General features: G+C 45.2%; 1 long non-coding RNA gene across 1 annotated transcript in view, besides 1 other annotated feature; it reads right to left on the bottom strand.

The window, feature by feature from the left end:
• The window catches only part of LOC105376360 (uncharacterized), a 432,070-nt gene that overhangs the window by 203,258 nt on the left and 213,803 nt on the right, over positions 1 to 15,009 (bottom strand). The window lies entirely within an intron of this gene.
• Positions 14,596 to 14,890: a silencer, noted in NCBI's record as "tiled region #1905; K562 Repressive non-DNase unmatched - State 19:H4K20". NCBI's record gives its function as "represses a minimal TATA promoter and a strong SV40 promoter by Sharpr-MPRA in K562 cells {active_cell/tissue: K562}" and the evidence as "EXISTENCE:reporter gene assay evidence [ECO:0000049][PMID:27701403]".

Raw genomic sequence — 15,009 nt, 5'->3', positions numbered from 1 at the left:
ACCAATGACTTTCTTCACAGAATTGGAAAAAACTACTTTAAAGTTCATATGGAACCAAAAAAGAGCCCGCATTGCCAAGACAATCCTAAGCAAAAAGAACAAAGCTGGAGGCATCACACTACCTGACTTCAAACTATACTACAAGGCTATAGTAACCAAAACAGCATGGTACTGGTACCAAAACAGAGATATAGATCAATGGAACAGAACAGAGCCCTCAGAAATAATACCACACATCTACAACCATCTGATCTTTGACAAACCTGACAAAAACAAGAAATGGGGAAAGGATTCCCTATTTAATAAATGATGCTGGGAAAACTGGCTAGCCATATGTAGAAAGCTGAAACTGGATCCCTTCCTTACACCTTATAGAAAAATTAATTCAAGATGGATTAAAGACTTAAATGTTAGACCTAAAACCATAAAAACCCTAGAAGAAAACCTTGGAAATACCATTCAGGCCATAGGCATGGGCAAGGACTTCATGTCTAAAACACCAAAATCAATGGCAACAAAAGCCAAAATTGACAAATGGGATCTAATTAAACTAAAGAGCTTGTGCACAGAAAAGAAACTACCATCAGAGTGAACAGCCAACATATAGAATGGGAGAAAGTTTTTGCAATCTACCCATCTGACAAAGGGCTAATATCCAGAATCTACAAAGAACTTAAACAAATTCACAAGAAAAAGATCAAACAACCCCATCAAAAAGTGGGTGAAGGAAATGAAGAGACACTTCTCAAAAGAAGACATTTATGCAGCCAACAGACACATGAAAAAATGCTCATCATCACTGGCCATCAGAAAAAGGCAAATCAAAACCACAATGAGATACCATCTCACACCAGTTAGAATGGCAATCATTAAAAAGTCAGGAAACAACAGGTGCTGGAGAGGATGTGGAGAAATGGGAACATTTTTTACACTGTTGCTGGGACTGTAAACTAGTTCAACCATTGTGGAAGACAGTGTGGCGATTCCTCAAGGATCTAGAACTAGAAATACCATTTGACCCAGCCGTCCCATTACTGGGTATATACCCAAAGGATTATAAATCATGCCACTTTAAAGACACATGCACACGTATGTTTATTGTGGCACTAGTCACAATAGCAAAGACTTGGAACCAACCCAAATGCCCATCAATGATAGACGACTGGATTAAGAAAATGTGGCACATATACACCATGGAATACTATGTAGCCATAAAAAATGATGAGTTCATGTCCTTTGTAGGGACATGGATGAAGCTGGAAACCATTATTCTCAGCAAACTGTCACAAGGACAGAAAACCAAACACCACGTGTTCTCACTCATAGGTGGGAACGGAACAATGAGAACACCTGGACACAGGAAGGGGAACATCACACACCGGGGCCTGTCATGTGGTGAGGGGAGTAGGGAGGGATAGCATTAGGAGATATACCTAATGTAAATGATGAGTTAATGGGTGCAGCACACCAACATGGCACATGTATACATATGTAACTAACCTGCACGTTGTGCACATGTACCCTAGTCCTTAAAGTATTATAATTATAATAATAATAATAATAATAATAATAATAACAATAAAGAAATTGGGAGTTAAGTAAAACCACCTTGTTTCCAAAAGTTAAGGATAACCTTACAAATTAAGAATTTATACATGAATGGATTCCCCCTTAAGTTATAGAACGAGACCATTTTAAAATTATTTTGTCAATGTATTTCAGTTACATAAAACAGTTGTTACATCAGTACCAGTTGTTTCTTTCTTTTTTGCCAGAAATAAGCGTGTTTTTACATGGAACACATCTATCTTCTAAGTGCAGTTGATTGTCAATATTTGTGAATGTATTGTTTATAGTACACAGTCCTTTATAGGTATATATGTATATATATAACACATAGACACAAACTTTCTCTTATATATAGAATCTGCCTTCTCGCTGTGGTGATTTCTTTTGATACAGACTCTGAAGTAAGAGTCCAGAATATGAAATTAAGAGTAGCTTGTGCAGTTGGGAAGCCCCTGAATTTAGAAGCCAAATGCCTGGATTCAAATACTGAGGTTTTTCCTTTATTACCAGATTTTCCTCCGAGAAGTCACTTGACACCTCTTGTGACGGTGAATATTGAGTGTCAACTTGATTGGATCGAAGGATGCAAAGTATTGTTCCTGGGTGTGTCTGTGAGAGTGTTGCCAAAGGAGATTAACATTTGAGTTGGTGAACTGGGAAAGGCAGACCCACCCTCAATCTGGGTGGGCACCATCTAATCAGCTGCCAGCACGGCTAGGATAAAGCAGGCAGAGGAACATGGAAGGACTGGACAGGCTGAGTCTTCTGGCCTCCATCTTTCTCCCAAGCTAGATGCTTCCTGGCCTCGAACATCAGACTCCAAGTTCTTCAGCTTTTGGACTCTTGGACCTACAACAGTGCTTTGCCAGGGGCTCTCGGGCCTTTGGCCACAGACTGAAGGCTGCACTGTTAGCTTCCCTACTTTTGAGGTTTTGAGATTCAGACAGGCTTCCTTGCTCCTCAGCTTGCAGAAGGCCTATTGTGGGACTTCATCTGGGGATTGTGTGAGTCAATACTCCTTAATAAATTCCCTTTCATATATAAACTATCCTATCAGTCCTGTCCCTCTAGAGAACTTTGACCAATACACTTCCACTGAAGCACACCTTCTACACGGGGAAGACAGACCCGCCTCCAGTGCCCACTGCCCTGGTGGCTCAGCCAGAGTGGCACCACCAGTGGGCAGCTGAGTGGGCTGCAGGGGAGAGCCCAGAGGTGGGCAGAGCAAGTGCACCCATGGCTGCCTGGGACCAAGTGATGATTAATGGTAATGCCTTTGATATCATGGTGTCATGGAATTTTTTGGAGAAAGACATACCTTCGATATCATGGTGTCATGGAGTTTTTTGGATTTGAAAACGTTTTCTTATAAATGTCATCTAAAGGCTGTTTCTGTCATAATCTAACCCAGGAAATAAATGTATCAAGTATTTTAGGATGAAGTAAAGGTCCCGAGAACATTAAATAACTACACTGTCATAATTGTCGGTTGCTTGACTCTGAATAAAGCCAAAGAATATCCAATGGATACAATGCAAGAAGGAAAGACGACCATTTGCCTGGATCCACCAAGTAGGTGCTCAGGGGTCTGTGAAACCTGGGTGTGGGGAGCAGGGAGTCTGACCTCAAGTCCAGCCTGTGTCTTAGGATCTGCTGTGCAGGAACCATGCAGGGAGGGTGGAAAGAGAGTGGGCAGAGGGGGTGGGGAGGGGCTGATACTGGGCTCCAGGGGCCCTGAGGTGGGAGATCAAGGCAGAGGCAGACGGCAGAGTAGCCCTTGTGGCAGTGGGGTTGCAGCGCCCAGGCTGCCTAGGGCTGGATTTGCTGCCTGAACCGGAGCTGTCAACCAGGTTCCCTCTGCCCCTTCAACACATCCTACAAACGCACAGGCAGGAGTGCCTTCTCCGTGGGTACCCCACCCCATGCATGCTCTGTAAGTTCACACTCAGGTTAGAGTTTACATGATTATCTCTCTGTTCAAGACCACTTGGAAGAAAAGGAAGCCAATTTCCAAAGGCCTCAATTTCCAATTTCCCTTGAGGCCACGGGAAGAGTTTATAGCTCTTCCTGGAGGTGGCTGTAAAGTTCCGAAGGATCTTAGATGGAGACTGGGTGCTGGAGGTGAGCAGGAGATCCTGGAGACAGCAGATGCCCAGGTGTCCTGTGGCACCTGCTCAGGCACCCACCACAGAGCCTGAAGTAGGGGGACAGTCCAGGGCCAAAAACCTGGGACGGGTCCTGATGTGGGCACAGAGGGGACGGAGGGCCCACAGGGGTCCAGATTTGAGCATGGAGAGGATGGGGCCCTTGTGCGTTCAGGCTGCTGTCACTAAAACCACAGACTGGGTAATTTGTGGGCAGTCGGCATACCCTCCTCACAGCTCTGAGGCTGAGATATCTAAAATCAAGTTAGATTTGGTGTCTGGTCAGGGCTTCGAAGGGAACATCTTCTCACTGTGTCCTCACATGGAGGAAAGTGAAAGGCCGGATGACACAAGAACGCAGCCAGTTCCTCCAGCCTGTTCTACAGCACAAATCCCACCCCTCCAGGCAACGTCCTTATGGCCTAATCAACGTCTAAGGGCTCTTCTACAAAGGGCTGCTTTGAAGATTACATTTAGGGCCGCTTTGAAGATTATATTTCAGCTTGAATTTCAGAGAGACAACCATTCAAACCACAGCGGTGGAAGACCCACGATGCATCAGGAGCGAGCACAGAGAGGGTAGGGACCCACAGCAGACTCAGGTATGTGAGTGCAGAGTCCAGGAGACTCCATGGGTGTGGCACATGGGTCACCCCAAGGGGAGGCACCTGTCCTTGGATGTGTTGAGGCTCGCCAGCTGCAGAGTTGAATATGAGTTGGACAGAGCTGGGATAGATTGCCAGTGTATCAGTATGTTTTCATGCCACTAAGAAAGACATACCTGAGACCCGGCAATTTACAAAAGAAAGAGGTTTAACGGATTTATAATTCTGCCTGGCTGGGGAGACCTCATGGTGGAAGGTGAAAGGCACGTCTCCCATGGCAGCAGACAAGTGAAGAGAAGAGAGCTCGTGCAGGGAAACTCCCCTTGTTAAAACCATCAGATCTCATGAGACTCATTCATTATCACGAGAACAGCACAGGAAAGACCCACCCCCTAATTCAACCCCCTCCCACCAGGTTCCTCCCATGACAGGTGGGAACTGTGGGAGTTAACAATTTGAGATGAGATTTGGGTGGGCACACAGCCAAACCATATCAGTGAGGCAACCAGAGGATTCAACAGAGTTTAAGGAGCCTGACGGTTTCACAGAGTCTGACTATTCTGCGAGAGTGGCCAGGAAGCATGCAAGGTTCATGAAGCACCACGCTGTGGGCCCAGTTCCCCATGCTGCTGCACTGACCAGCAGCTCCAGCAAGCTCCTTCCACATGTGGCTTCAGCCCAGGTCCACCTCGCAGCCCAGGGCTGCAGCCTCTTCCCAGAATTATCTTCCTTTTTCACCAGCTCCTCCTCACTGGCATCGGGTCTGAATTCTTCTCATCCATGGTCAGATGGCAGGGCTACAGTCTTATAAATGATTGAATGACTCATGGGGAAACACAAGTTTCCAAGGAAAAATGTTTTAAAAAGAAAAAATACGAGTGAGTAATGAGGGAGAGGTAGCCCTACTAGATCTACAGGAATTACCATTCTGCAATATTGGCAGAAGAATAAAGAGCTTAATCATCGGAAAAGGTTCATTTTCCCAGAAACAAATGCTAATAGAGAAAAACTTAGTGAGTAATAATAAAAGGACAATTAATTCATAAATGATGTTGAAAAGTTTGTAGATTCGGTTGGGGGGAATAAATTAACATCCTTAATTCATACCATATACAAAAATAAACTGAAGAAGAATTGAATAGAAAATATAGACAGCTAAAACATTAAACATAACAATTTTTTTGGAAAGTGGAACATTTAATGGATGTGAGGAAGAAGAAAAGACTTTCTAAGCAGATAATTAATGGAAAAAATCATGAAACAAAACACAGACATTTGGTTACTATTCAGGATCAGCAACATTATCACCAAAGCACTGGCCTTCTCCTGGTTGCAACTTTCCTTAGTGCTGGTCCTGGCCTCTCCTGCAATCAACAGCCACTGAGCTCGACCCCAGGAGTAGCCAAGAGAAAGCCTTGTGCATCCTGAAATTTCATACATTGGGATAAAGTAAAAAGCCTAAGTCAAAAAACTGTTACTGTCAAATAACTAAAAGGTATTATATATAAGAAACTGGGAAACTACGTGCCACAAAGATTATTGGCAAACCGCTTCCAACGGAAAGACAGCCCAGTGCTTAAACACAGAAAATGAGAAATGAATAAAAAATTCCTCAACCTCACCAGTAAGGAAAAGAAACTCAAATTCTTACAACATTGAGATATCATTTTTTTTTCTTTTTGCCTAATAAAGGGTGCAACCCTTTTTTCTTTCTTTCTGTGTGTGTGTGTGTGTGTGTGTGTGTGTGTGTGTGTGGTTTTTGTTTGTGTGTTTAATAAAACTCCCCATTGCTGCTAGAATTTTTGGTAGATGAACAATCTCATTCACTCCTGGTAAAGTCTAAGAATTTCCAAAAAGTGATGTTCTGATTTGTAACAATAGATCTGAAATTATCCATGCCCCTTCATCGGGTAACTCCATTTCTAGGAATATATCCTAATAAATAATATGACTACCTATGAAGATTTATGGGCAATAATGTTTGTTCTAGCCACACGGAACTGTTAATATCAGAAATAGTCAACACCAAGAGAATGATTAAATAGTTTTGGCATATTGTTAAGATAAAATATTATGTAGTCACTAAAAATTAAAGTTCTGAATTATTTTCAATTATGTGGAAGGCTAGGTGAAAAAAAGGCAAGCTCTAACACTGTGTGGGCAGCCTGTTCACCCCCATGTAGATATAATTGCATATTGACTTTTCAAGCACAGGGAACAGCTACTCACATTCCCACAGCAACAAGGGCTGGGGGTACTTCCCACCCCCAGATAACTGAACAGTTGTTACGGCTAAGTTTACCTAACACATGTATTTTTGTTTCCTCTATTATATTTTATCCATATTTTCCAACTTTTCTCAAAGGCCATTTATCATTTACACCAAGAAGTCAATCCATAGGGTTTTCTAAAGAGGTATCTGTGATGAAGTGACTCAGGCCTATCCACAGCCCTCCTCTTCCTCCGTCTTATTTCTGTCCTTCTCTAAAGGGTGCCAGGGGACCCTCTAGCTTGGGCATCTCATTTTGTGGATGTGGGAGGTGTCTGTGGAGAAGACCCTCAGAGACGAGGGCCCTGTGTGTGTGGGGGAGAGTGGGGGGACTGTTTAAATGACAGTACAGGACCATGTATGGCCTAGAAGCATTTTCCCAAATTCTTCAACTGCATAGTTTTTTGAAGATTTAAGAACATGCAGGCACACACACACTGTTAAGGAGTAAGTTGTGTCCTTAGTTTTCAGGTGTTGAAGTCTGAACCTCCTGGGAAGGTGAGAACTGTGGTGATGAGGTCTTTCCAGAGTTAACTGAGTTAAAACAGGGTCATTAGCATGCGGTCTCGTCCAATCTGACGGTGTCTTTGTAAGAAGAGGAGATTGGGACACAGAGGGCGATGGTGTGAGGACGCTGGGAGAAGATGGCGTCTACCAGACAAGAAGAGAGACCTCAAGAGGAACCAACACCTTGTTCAGGACATCCAGCCCCAGGGAGTGTGAGAACCTGCATTCCCACTGTTGAGGCCGCCTGATCCACAGTGCTTGGTTGCCGCAGCCTTGGGAGATGCGTGCGCCAGGCTTCAAAGGCAGCTCGTCCCTCAGCACCTCTGCAAGACAGGGTCTAATGTCAACTGCTAAGGGGGTTTCCAGTTGCATCAACTCCATCCCTTCCTCCTTGGCCGTTACTGTGAATACACAGCCCTGAGCCTCTGGTCTAACCCTTGACATGAAGCGTGTGGCCTTCCTGTGAACGCCCCTGTGGTGAAAAGTGTGTTATCTCGGCATGACCTGTATTTCCCACATCCAGAGCCGAAGGAATGGGCATTAAAGTTCCAGCTCTCATGTCCTCTCTCTCCATGGTCCATTCCAGAGTCCACACCAAGGAATGTAGGGAACAGAGGCTAGGTTAGTGTAACTCGGCCTCCAGGGGCTGACGTGCCCTGGGTCAGCAACCGACCCTCACAACGATGCTCTGGACAGTGCTGAGGTTCTGCAGGTGCTCCGGCTTGATTTTCAGAGTGCTGTGTCAGGGGGAGACAGCAGAAAACACACTGTTTTCCTTAAAATCTCAAAGGACCGGTGGCCCCAGACACTCTGAGGCCACCAGGAGGCTTCATGCACGTCTCCAGGAGTGTGACATGTTTTCACGCCACATCTCCGTGCTCCAGCGGATTCATGAAGTTGGGAGCCCACTGCCGCCGCCTCTGGGGCTGCCTGGGGAGATGGGGCTGAAGAAAGTGACCTGCGCCTGGCCTGTGCCTGCTTGGAGGTTTCTAAGTGTAGACGAAGTGTCAGAGGAGTCCATGTGGGCTGAGCTCTGGTCTCCCAGGCACCAGCATCTCATTTCACTTACAGCACAATTCCAGGAAGCGCACGGGCACCACGAGGCCCGTTCCTCCTGCTGAGATCTCCCCTTGTATCAGCAAGTGTGACTCATGGCTTCCAGCTCTGACACAAAGCCTCTAATGAATGTCAGCTAACAAGAGGCAGAGTCATGGCTTTCTTTAAGTACATTCCAGAAAGTTCTGGCAAGTTTGAGAAAATTGTGATGCCACTAAGTCATTGGCTCTGACTGAGGCAGAGAACAAGCCAGTGAAGAGAGGCAGGGGTCGCGAGGCTGCGTGGCACCCGGGCCACACACGGGTTCCCGGAGGCGGCTGTCCTGCATGGTAACAAATCATTGGCTGCTTTCCACTCGGAAGGTCCACCAGGCAAACCTGGGGCCCTGATCTGACCTCCTCACTGGCTGAGATCACAGTGCCTGAATTCCCGTTCTGCAAAACCCGCGGTCCACAGCTGACGCTGGGAGAGAGGCTCCAGGATCTTGGGAATGGGGAGACGTTTTATGTAATCGGAGAGCAGAAATCTTCCTCCTGTGTTTGCATTAACTGATAATGCCTGGAGGGTTTTGTAATTCGAGTATGATTTGGTTGTTAAAAAGAAAACATCCATTTTATTATGTGTGTCGCCCAAATTCAAATCTCTGTCTTCTTTTCTAAAGAGAAAATATGCTAAAAAATGATGCCATTTCTCTTACAATACAGTGTTGTTTAGTCAGGAGCCACTTCTGTGAAGATCCAATGATGTAATCGACAAATATTTACTTAAGGACTAAATGAACATACATGGAAAATACCATATCTTTGATGTATAATAATAAAAGTGAAAAACAATGTCTTTGCTCTGGCGTTATTGGATAATGATGACAACAACATTGTTACACTTTGCAGTTACGGGCAATGTCTGCCCACTTCACAGGGTTTGTTTTTGCCTCTGGAGTGAGATCATGGGATTGAGATGCAGACAGCTCTGAAGTCGGGTTAGAGCAGCTTAGGAACAGGATGAAACTTCGGATAGGCCTCAAAACAGGGTCCCCATGCAATGAATGATGCATCGCATGAGACACACAGACACACAGACAGCAGCAACAGACAGGCTGGACCCCTAACAAACAGCAGACACACAAAACCAACGCCACCCGTGCCCGTGCAGAGGCTGCTGCTGCTGCTGCTGCCGCTGCCGCCCTTTAGGGTTTGTGGTCCCTGGTTCTGTCATCTGCCCTGCCACACCCCAGCTGAGTGGTTGGGGAAACTGGCAGCCTCACCTGTGCCTCAGTTTCCTCATCTGTCATGGGGTGGGAACCATCCTACCTCTCAGGGGTATTTATGAGCCAACCATATACGTAAAGGGCTAAATGGTGGCTGGCGTTTAGGAAGGCCTCAATTAGCTATAGAGGGAATGTATAGAAACAGAATTTAAGGCGCCCTGAGGTCAAATGGTGAAGGATGGGAACTGTGATGGGAGGCCACCTGTCCTAGTGTGGAGCATGTGGAAATAGGTAATTCAGTCAATGGCAGGGGCAGGTGTCTGCTGTTAATGGAAACCAAATAAGCATCTGGTCCGTTTCGTGCCCAGCATGGTGCCAGGCACTGGGAGGATACCAGAGCTTTGGAACGATGCTTCCTTTACAACATTCCAAGGCTGAAGTCAGGAGGACCAGATCTCTTTTAAATGATGTCATGCAAATACAGTAGAAATGCAGGAAAGGGCTTCCTGCAGAGGTCAAATTTTAATGAGGTATTAAAATATAGATAAAATATTGTGAAGAAAAGTAATTTGAATAGGCATAAGATCAGAAATTAAAATAATGGACCTAGACAGCACAGGGAATTAAATTATGGAAATGCCTAAGAGGCGTCAATCCCAAAATTGAGGCTCAAGTTAAATAATTTGGTCTTAGAAAAACATAAAGTTCAAAATATTGTACTGAACTTACACAAAAGCAGAATTTTTCATAGTATCTTAATTTCTTTTTTCGAACTCTATTTTGTCCCTAAATAGATAACTGACACAAATGTGCTGCTTCTCTTTTTGACTAAGAGTGGACTATTTTTAAGCCAAGATAATTCAGTTTCGAACTTTCAAAGTGTAAATTTGAAATTATCTTGGTAGTAACTCCAAAAAGCACATTAAATTATACACCGGCAACTACAGGCAGATTAAGGGTAGGCATTTCAGACTCGAAATACTGCTCTTGTTTTTTGTTGTTATGGCTTCATTGTTAGGGGACTATACAGGTTTTATATTTTATTTTCTTTATGGAAAGGTTTTTGGTTCAAAGGAGTTTTGCGTTTTCAACAGAAGTCATTTCATTTATCCTTACAGCTATCTCTGGAGGGTCTTGAAGAAAGAAGAAATTCTGTATTATCCAAACAGATGGTTATGAGGATCTACTTTCAACCTTCCACGTTATGTGCTGTGAATCAAGTCTTCACCCTACCATTTATCCATTGTCTCCAAGAGCTTTTGATATATCAGGAAATAGGGAAGCCCTACATATGGAAAAGTGTAAGGATTGTAGTGGTGAGATGTGTGTTCCAGACTCTCTGGATTCAAATCCCAGCTCTGCTACTCATAAGTAAGTGACTTAATTGCATTCACTTTCTCATTGGTAACATCGGGACAATAATAGGTCCTTACTGCCAGGGCTGCTATGAGGATTATAAGCAACACGCAAAAGGCATTTGGAACTAGACCCTGCTTGTGTCAAGAAGGCTACAAATACAAGGGATTTGGGTGCAGGGAAGTTAGGAGAGAACAGGGAAGGCTCATCAAGAGAGAACAGGGCAAGACTCACTGATGTGTTATTTTCATTCTGCAAAAATTTAACAAGTGATTACACAGCAGGAGCTACATTAAAGGCCCAGAATTTTAAAAGAATTAAAAAAAATAGATGAAGTCCTAAAAACTTCCTTGTGTATTTGAATAAAATGATATAAACAGTTCATTACAAGGTAAGGTACAATGTAATTAATCCAGTATCTTCAAAGCACTCTTGCAGCAAGGAGAAGGAATCCACGTTCAATCCACATAAAAGTAAACGTATGTTCCTACAGAGAAGTGAATGTTTGATCATGTTCTGTAGTCCAAATTCAGTATCAGAACATCCACATTAAAAAAAGGTACAAAATAGGCCTCAAGGGGTGGCCCCCCGGGCAGCGGTGGGTTTCTGCAGCAGGAATAAGATGAACAGGCTCCTGGCAATGGAGGGGAACATGGCCTGGCAGGGGTTTGTTCACAATCAGGTGAGGCTTCTAGGACAGCACATGGGCAGGTGTGTGGAAGGCCTTGGGAAGGGCACAGGAGCCCCCATGGCCCCACATTTGGTGTCCTAGGTCCCATCAACCCACAGACCACCTGAAGTGCCACAGTCTTTCAGTAATTAAGCACAGTATTCCCAGGCCTATTTTCTGTAGGATTTCAGCTCTGCCCTGCCTTGGTATAAGCTCTGAGGTCAGTGTGAGTGGGGGGCAGTGCCAACCGTGGGGACGGAGCCTGAGACCTGGTAGAGCATCCCCTGCCCAGGCCACTGAGAAGGTGCTGTTGGATGAGAAGGAAAGTTGATGAGAAAACTAGCCCATTTCAACTCCCAAGTGCAAAATTAGAAGTAAACTCTCCTGAGACCAAATACGGGGCAGCCCATGGGGACATTTGGAGGGCTCAGGGCTTCTACAGACAAAGGCCACCCTGGGGCCTCTGCTCGGGGCCTGTGCAGGCTGCTGAGCAGCACAGGCCACTCTAAGGGCTGCATGGAGCTGAACGCATCAAGTGTTCTGCAAGGCCTCGTCCGAGTGATTTGCACTGTTCCCGGGCACTCCAGCTCAGAGCTAAGTCCCGCTTCAGAGTGCTTACCTGCAGCCATTAAATAATTATCAGTGTGCAAGCTTTTAGAGTTAGGCTGTCGTGCTTGTATATTCTAAACATGCTTTCTGATTTTTTTTTTGCATCAAAGCAGATATAGGAAATATTAATATTTATACCACCCATGGGACACTGGGGTATGGCTGCTTCTAGCAGGAGGTCATCAGCCAGCCTCCCAGGAGGTTCAGCTCCCAGGCTCCGTCCAGCTGCCCAGTGGCTGAGGCTCAGCATCTCCACTGCCTGTAACCTACTCACGGCACACTGCACCCACGGCACACAGCACCCGGGCACCGCTCACGGCACAGAGCACCTGGGCACGGTGGCTGGGAGGCTCTGACCTCTGCAGCAGACACAGAGCTCCACTTCTTATTCTCTGTTAATTGATGCTGCCCTGTTTCATTTTAAGCATTGTTACCAGGTTCTTAAGACTATAAAAAATAAAAATTAAATAGCCCCAAACTAAACCTCACTTTATCAACCTAAAAAGAGATGTGTGTGTCCGGAGGAAATGGGATCTTTTCTCTCCACCTTTCCCATTTTTGAGTCCTCAGTGATGTGAAAAAAAGCCGGTGTCTGTTTAGAATACGATAACTAGAAGCTCCGGAGCGGAGCCAGGGGTTAATGAAATTCCGGGAAGCCAAGGAGCCCGTGCTCAGAACGGGCAAGTGCCATTTCTGTCTTGTTGATATTAGAGAAATGGGTGGTGGGTGAACAATGGGTCACAATACCCATAAAGAAGAATCCATGGGAGCTGCTGCGACTCTGCGGTGAGCGCTTTGCCTGTGGGACTCTTGAGGCTGGTCAGCTCTTCAGATGCACGAGGCCTGGTAGTCCAGGCAGGAATGATGATGACATCACTTTCTTCTCACCGTGTTGTCATGCGACAGGTCACAGCGGCCACTGTTGCCCCAACTACGGGCTGTTTACATTTCGGGGCAATTCAGTGAGCTAAATACTGTTAAGGTTCAAGTCCTTGTCCCTCTGAGAATCCCAAACCTCTCCGGAACCTTCAACAATTAAGATTCCTACCACAGTCTGCTGCAAAGGTCATGTTTCATTTCTAATATCTTAGAAATAACACTTTTCCCAGGGCGGGTCAATTTATTTTACAAGTTCTACTCCACTTTATTAAAGAAGAGGTGGTTACTTTTTAAAGCTTGAGATCTTTTTTTTTCTGGGAGTACAAATTTAGGAGCTTATTTTTCTTTATTTGTGAAATTTTTTTTGACTGTACAATGCAAATAAAACTTGGTAAAAAGTGAAACATAAATCCAAGTAAATGAGAGTTTTAGGCGTCTTAATTACTCATTCTGTGAGTAGTTTGACTCATTAAATTTATGGGACACCCAGCAGAGGCCAGGCCAATGACAGGTAATAAGATGATGGGGAGAATAAAATGGGTTAGGGTTATGGTTAGCGTTATGGTTAGGAGAGCTCACAGATTCATCAGGAGTGCACAGCCCAAAAAATTAGATTGTTTTTCAGTAAATTGTCTGGTTAGAGTACTACTGCGATATATTAGTCAAGATTGTTACCATCATACAGACTTAACCATTTCTTTCGTTTTCTAAAATGTATGTCCATGTGTGAAGCTCTGGGTGAAGCATAACGGAGGAAGGTGCAGGAAGGTGGCGCATGGACTCCATGAAGAGGATCAGGGAGGGCGGGTCGGGGACTCCATGAAGAGGATCACGGAGGGCATGTCGGGGACTCCATGAAGAGGATCAGGGAGGGAGGGGGGCACCTGCACATGTGCACTCACGCGTGGGGCAGAGACCAGCGCGTGGACAACCACGAGGCATTCCCAGAAGCAAAGAGGACATGAAGCTCTCATTTTCAACTCTGTAGTTAATGTATCTTCAAACTAAAACAAGAAAAAATATGCATTTTGCAACTTTAATTCATAAGGCTAGAGATTAAGGTCCCAAAACATCCTATCACAGTCAGAATGACTCTTGGGATAGGTAACTATGACTCAGATGTTTACTTTTGTCTAAACATATGCAAAAGGAAGTCAGGTTCCCCAGAGTAGAAAGCACTTCCAACCTGACAGTGTCCAGGTGTGGAGAAAGCGCCCGTGGACATATTCTAAGAGCTCCTTAGGCATGACCTTCAGTGCTCTCCCCTTCCCTCCAATCACAGACATATGTCTTTGAGGAATTCCAGGTCCTCCTGTCTTGAGCATGAAACGACCATTGATGGCCCTTCCCTGCCACCAGCCCATGGCAGGCACTGACCACAGTGCTGGGAGAACTTCTCGTGTCCCCCCAGTGCCTGAGCCTTATTGGATGAAAAGCTGTTGTTTTTCAGTCCCTTTGATTTAACCACCTGGGAACAGGGCTCTTGTCTCTGCCTCCTTCAGTTATGGAGACTGTTTATAGTGCCTGAAGGCTTTCCTCTCTGAACCTGACTTCCAGAATGAGAGAGGACAACAAGACACTGAGGAGGCAGAAACCTGTCCAGGTCATCCAAGGAGCCCAAATCCCTTGTAAATGCATTCCTCGCAGCAATGTCCCCAAGAAGGCCAGCATGAACGAGACAGGACACAAATGAAATCACAGCGTGCAGCCTGCTCCCGGCGACAGGAGCCATGCATGAGTCTCTTGCCGAAATGTGGGTGATGAGTCAGTTGAGGAAGCTCAGCTGGGCAGCCCATCCCCTTCGCACACAGTGGCAGCTATGCCAGCCACAGAGCCCTGGGGAGGACGGCGAACGATTACTGTGCATGACCTGAAAGGGATCAGAGACGTAAGGCAGGCACCATCCTGGCCAGGGTGGGGACAGGCAGGTGGGGAATCAACTGCTGGGTCTCACAGTGCCTACACTGCGGTTGCCCTGGGATCCAGTCAAATCTCAACAAAACAAGGAGACAATATATACAGAAGGGTATTAGTATTATAGTATAGTATATGGTGTAGTATACTGTAATAATAGAGTATATAGTATAGTATAATAGTATAGTATACCACACTATAATATATATAGTATATATATTAGT

Source organism: Homo sapiens, chromosome 10 (genome assembly GCF_000001405.40).
Source record: "Homo sapiens chromosome 10, GRCh38.p14 Primary Assembly".
In the NCBI taxonomy this organism is placed as follows: Eukaryota; Metazoa; Chordata; class Mammalia; order Primates; family Hominidae; genus Homo; species Homo sapiens.
The sequence above is the reverse complement of the archived record's forward strand: the minus strand, read 5'-3'. Positions and strand labels throughout refer to the sequence as shown.